Source organism: Homo sapiens, chromosome 7 (genome assembly GCF_000001405.40).
Source record: "Homo sapiens chromosome 7, GRCh38.p14 Primary Assembly".
In the NCBI taxonomy this organism is placed as follows: domain Eukaryota; kingdom Metazoa; phylum Chordata; class Mammalia; order Primates; family Hominidae; genus Homo; species Homo sapiens.
The window spans coordinates 83,830,918-83,836,455 of NC_000007.14; the positions used below are offsets into that span (position 1 = coordinate 83,830,918).

Sequence of the window (5,538 nt, forward strand, 5' to 3'; positions counted from 1 at the left end):
AGGCATGGTGGCACATGCTTGTAGTCCCAGCTGCTAGGGAGGCTGAGGCAGGAGGATTACTTGAGCCCAGGAGTTCCAGGCTACAGTGAGCCATGGTAGCACCACCACACTCCCAGCCTGAGCACTCTCTCTCTCCTATTTCTTGTTCTTTCTCAGATCACTTACATGGGAGGAAGCCAGTTTCTATGTTGTGAGTTGCCCTTATGGAAATGTCCATGTGGCCAGAAACTGAGGAAGGCCTTTAGCCAACAGTCGGAGAGGAGCTGAGCCTCTTGGTTCAACAGATGGTAAGAAACTGAGGCCTGCCAACAACCACAAGAATGGGCTTGGAAGCTGATCCTTTAGCCCCAGGTAAGCCTTGAGATAACTGCAGCTCAAGAAGACAGGCAGCTGGATTGCAACCTCATGAGAGACCCTGAAGTCTTTCTTAACATAATTGCTGGCTTTTCTTTTTTTTTTTTTTTTTAAGAAAAACAAAGTGAAAATATATATTAATAACTTTAAGGAAGTATTAATACTTTTATTTCTTGCTCTATATGTCCTTTTTTTTTTTGCTCAGTTATATTGGATATCAGATGATTTGGGATCTACTTCATTTGGAAAAGTCACCTAATTTAATGTTGCTTCTTCCTCTTTTATAAGATGGGACTTATCATGATTATCCTTTACTGAATACTGACCATTTACTAAGCACCTATCTTATCTTCACAAGAGCCTTTTTGGATCTTATTATCCCCATTTTTTATGTTAAGAAACTGAGGTTTAGTGATTATTTATCAATATGTGGCTAGTAGGTTGAGATTAAACTCACCTGAGTCTAGCTCCAAATTTCTGTTACAACATACAATTTTCCTTGTTATGCATTTTCTTACTGAGATTTCAAGTGTTTTATTAAGAAAATTGGGATTTTGAATCAAATTTTGCATTTTCCAAGAATAGAACGCATACTCTCCAGAAGAGGAGAGTGGATGCCTCACTGAAAAAAAAAAAAAAAAAAAAAAAAAAAGAAGAAAGAAAGAAAAAGAAAATATCAGCCAGATTTCTTAGTGACTAAATCCAAAGTTGACTAAGGTCAAGAAACATCTTGTACTTTTATCAGAGTTAGAATATTTTATACAAACGTGGCGACTTTTCTCCTAATAATATATAAATGTGGAGAGAGGTGTGGGGATTTTCTTCTTTCAGTGTAAAAAGGCACATTAATGTCTCTCACATCTACATTATCCCTTAACATTCATTTTTCACAGCAGCAGGTCTTTGTAGAAGGATCACGTGGTTGGAGTCAGTCAAATGTGGCCTTGAATCAACAAGTTGGTTACTCTGTCTGAAATTCAATTTCCTCATTTACAAAGAGGAGCTAGTAATGCCAGCATTCAAGATCATTTTGTAGATTAAATGGGCATAAAACAAATAGTAGTGTGTAAAATAGTAAATATTATGGGTTCACAATTCTGAAATCCAAGTACTTTGAAAATAATAGGTGTGAGTGATATGGGGTAAATAATATATTTTTCTCTGTGGGCATTTTGATGAGTTTCATCATGAACTGTAGTCCCAGAGTCCAGAGGAAATATGACGTGAGATACGGCATATGCACCATTTAACTGTTTCAAATATTAAAAATCCTTAATTCCCAAAGAAATTTGGCCTAAAAGTTTTGGGAAAAGTATATGGACATATTATTTTTATTATTAATATTATTAATTAAAATATGGACTAAAACTTCTATGTAAAATAAGAACTTTTATACTCAGTGATAATATTCATTAAGTTTTACAGTGAACGCTCAAGATTTATATCGAAACACTTTGACTTGAAGTAACAAAATTATCTTCACAAGTGGCAATTGGTAAAATTAATATGACCTTTTGAAAGCTGAAGAAACTGAATTATGAAAGACATATGTAATTTATGTAAAATTAAGTTAAAAATTAAGATCACAGTTGAGATTTGAAATCTTTAGTTTACTTTCTTTGTGTTTAGCTCTCTGATTAGGCATCTTTTAATTTCAGCTCAAGTACTTTTGGAAATGATCAGTTTTGCAAAACAATCTTATTGGCAACAAAAAAAATAGCAGCCTATATTTCTAAACATATTTTTTCAGATTAAAAGAAACTAAAATTTTGTGAGCAATTTTTGCATATAACCTTTATATTTGCCATTTGTTCATATGAATTTGCTCAAGCAGAAATTTTTAAAAATACATTATAAGAATATGTGTGGTATGTAAGAAAACATGAACACACACATGCGAATCTATATATCTATGCTTGTTAGCCATCTAGTGGCTTTGAAATAAAATTAACAACAAAAGTAGAAATCACTATGTTATCTTAATTACTACTATGGAATATGTATTGTTTAAATTATATAGTGTGTTCTTAGTTCTTAAACACAATCATTTTGATAAATTTTGAAGTCAAGTTTTATTTACCAAATCTTGCTTTCAGTTTTTTGTGAACTCTGCCTAGTCCACTCCTCACTTTCAATTGACATAAGCAAAGTTTGAAGCACTTGTCATTTTAATTTATTTTCACTCCTTATGGACATCTATGCCAGTGGTACACAAAAGTATTGTCCTTTTGTTTGTTAGAAGACTAGCCTTTCTTGCCACAGGATTGCTATAGAATCAAAGAGCCTAAGGCCTTTGCTGTTTCAGTATAACAGGAATGTAAAATGTAGTCATCATTTGGGATTTATGTGGTCTCCAATCATCAGACTTCTTCATATAAGAAATCACTTCTCATTTTATAGAGTATCCTATGTTTCATGCGCGTCCGTGTGAAGAGACCACCAAACAGGCTTTGTGTGAACAACATGGCTGTTTATTTCACCTGGGTGCAGGCGGGCTGAGTCTGAAAAGAGAGTCAGTGAAGGGAGATAGGGGTGGGGCCGTTTTATAGGATTTGGGTAGGTAAAGGAAAAAGGGGGTGTGTTCTCTGGCAGGCAGGAGTGGGGGGGGGTCACGAGGTACTCAGTGGGGGAGCTTTTGAGCCAGGATGAGCCAGGAGAAGGAATTTCACAAGACAATGTCATCAGTTAAGGCAGGAACAGGCCATTTTCACTTCTTTCGTGGTGGAATGTCATCAGTGAAGGCAGGAACCGGGGATCTGGATGTGTAAGTGCAGGTCACAGGGTATATGATGGCTTAGCTTGGGCTCAAGAGGCCTGACACTATGTACTATGCAATTTCACATATTTTATAACATCAAACAGTGAAAGATAAATGAAAGTATCAAATATAAAGAGTGTTTGGATTATTTTCCATTTTGGAACGCTTACTCTATTGTTGAGTTATTATTAGCCTTGCCTACTTAAGGCCTGTGTAAACTTTTTTATTACTTATTTTGTGATTTGCCAGATTTTGTGCGAGTATGTATGTGTGTTTTTTATAACTTGGTAGGCTTCTTTACATAGAGATGGAAGGAGCTAGAGATACCATGTGATTTATTTAATTTCCTTCAAAGTTTGCCATTCTTTACAATTGCTGAGTAGCTGTATTAAAGTCTATGAAAATGCTGTATTAACACTATGCCACGTGTGTTGAGATGATATAATCTCATTTATTGATGAAATTAATGTATATATTTAAATAAGGTAGAAAAATATCATGGCAAAATCTTTATATTTACTACTGAAAGTCAATCTAACAAAAATTATTGTTTTATCATTTCTAATTAGCTTTATAAACTATAGCTGAAGAGTTGTTTATTTGTAAGTTTTTGTTTATTTTCAGCCATTATTTTTGCAAATTCCTAAGGACTATTTACATGTCCAGTCAGGGTGTTGCAAACAATCTTCTCAATCCATTGAGGAGGGCTCTGGGTCATAATCTTTTTGGGTAGCATTGGTGTGATCAGCTCTATTTGAACCACATCTCTGCGCTTCTACATCTTAACAAGGGAACACAAACTAGTTTCGATTGTAAAAATTTGGATTCTGGGGAAAAAAAAAAAAAACACTAAAACATTTTCTATTTTGTTCTACTAATTGCTATGTATGGGGGGACTCTCTATTTCATTGCTAATTTTATATTTTATTACCTTCTCCCACTGATTTTGGACTCTGCCTCAGAATTATAGTTTTATTAAGTAAGGCAACAGAACTCAACATTTGTTACAGCAAGTTAATGTTTTCAGGTGAGTAAAAAGTGTTATATTCTTATACATTTTCTAAATGTGCATTAATCAATGTATAGGATTTGTTTACTTCTTCAAAATTTTGAGTTGTAATATATTCATTTTCTTGGGGTAACAGCCTAGTATAGAAAGATGTTCTTTGTCTTTCCAGAATGGAAAGACAATATGTCTTGTATTTTGATAATGTTGTTTTCCTTTTTGCTATTTTCTGAGATGTTACTAGATTATCGATACTAGTTGAAAAACAGAAGTTTCTTTGTTAAAGTGAAATGAACAGGTGCCTTTCATGAGTAAAATAAAAGGTCTTTCTTTAACATCCTCGTGGATATGATCCCTATTGTTTCTTTTTTAAATTACATAATGGGAATGTTAATCTTTATATCTCAGTTTAAATTGGTTTTAAGTACCTAACACATTTAAAAGTTGGAAAACCTTAACTACTTCTATTAGGGATTTTGTGTTTAAATTACTTAATCCTTTTTACACAAAACTTGCATGTCATTTCTTGAAAGAATACTGCCTGTGAGTTAATTACATGAATTAGATATTTGTGTTCATGGTTTCTTGGCATTCAATCAAATATTTGGCTAGAAGTATTTTGAGGTTTTAGAAAAAAATATGTGGGAAATAATTTTAAAATATAATGCCTCCATTCAGATGGGGAAGTGCATGGCAAACCCTTACTTTTGCAGATGAACAATAGGATTTAGGACATCATAACCCTATCTAGAAAAAATAAATAAAAATGTAGAAAGTAATCCTCTTGGATGGTTTCCCCTGCTTCTGTCAAAACGTGAGGCTCTTTATCTAATTACAGGAGCAGAAAAGAATATAGAAGAGAAAAATTTGCAACAAATTCAGAATGTTGTGACAGAAGAGAAATAAAATTTCTATCCACTTGAAAAAAATTGCCACAATTTGAGACATAATTTACTCACTAATTATAGCCAGTTGAAATTACTGGTGACATACTGATTGGCAGAAGGCACATTTACAAGGTGTTCAATGCTATGCACTCCCTCTGAGCTAATTAAACCACCTTCAGGCTTTAGCCATGGGCTCCATTTTCAGCAGAAGGATAGATCCAGGCTGCTGTATCTTTTCATTACTCAATGTTCAAACACCTGAGTGCAAAGCTGAGCATTGAGATTGACTAGAGTTGGCAGCACCTGTTAAACATTTCTCACATCCTCTCTCGTTTCATAATAGTTTCAGAAATTCTAAGTGTTAGAATGACATTTGGTGACAGACCATCAGTGCTGTCATCTGGGCATTAAAAAAAAATCAACTGATTATTGACTTTAATTAGCTTGTTATTCCTACTCTAATATTAACTGTAATTTGGAATTGAGGAAAAGAGATGGCACCAAACCCTGTTAGTATCCGTCTGTTTTTCTCC

The 5,538-nt window shown here is 34.0% G+C and overlaps 2 annotated features.

The window, feature by feature from the left end:
• Positions 2,940-3,440: an enhancer, noted in NCBI's record as "OCT4-NANOG-H3K27ac hESC enhancer chr7:83463173-83463673 (GRCh37/hg19 assembly coordinates)". NCBI's record gives its function as "activates a minimal SCP1, AML or CMV promoter by ChIP-STARR-seq in primed H9 embryonic stem cells {active_cell/tissue: H9 hESC(primed)}" and the evidence as "EXISTENCE:reporter gene assay evidence [ECO:0000049][PMID:30033119]".
• Positions 5,225-5,284: a silencer, noted in NCBI's record as "silent region_18337". NCBI's record gives its function as "represses an Ori minimal core promoter by ATAC-STARR-seq in GM12878 lymphoblastoid cells {active_cell/tissue: GM12878}" and the evidence as "EXISTENCE:reporter gene assay evidence [ECO:0000049][PMID:35858748]".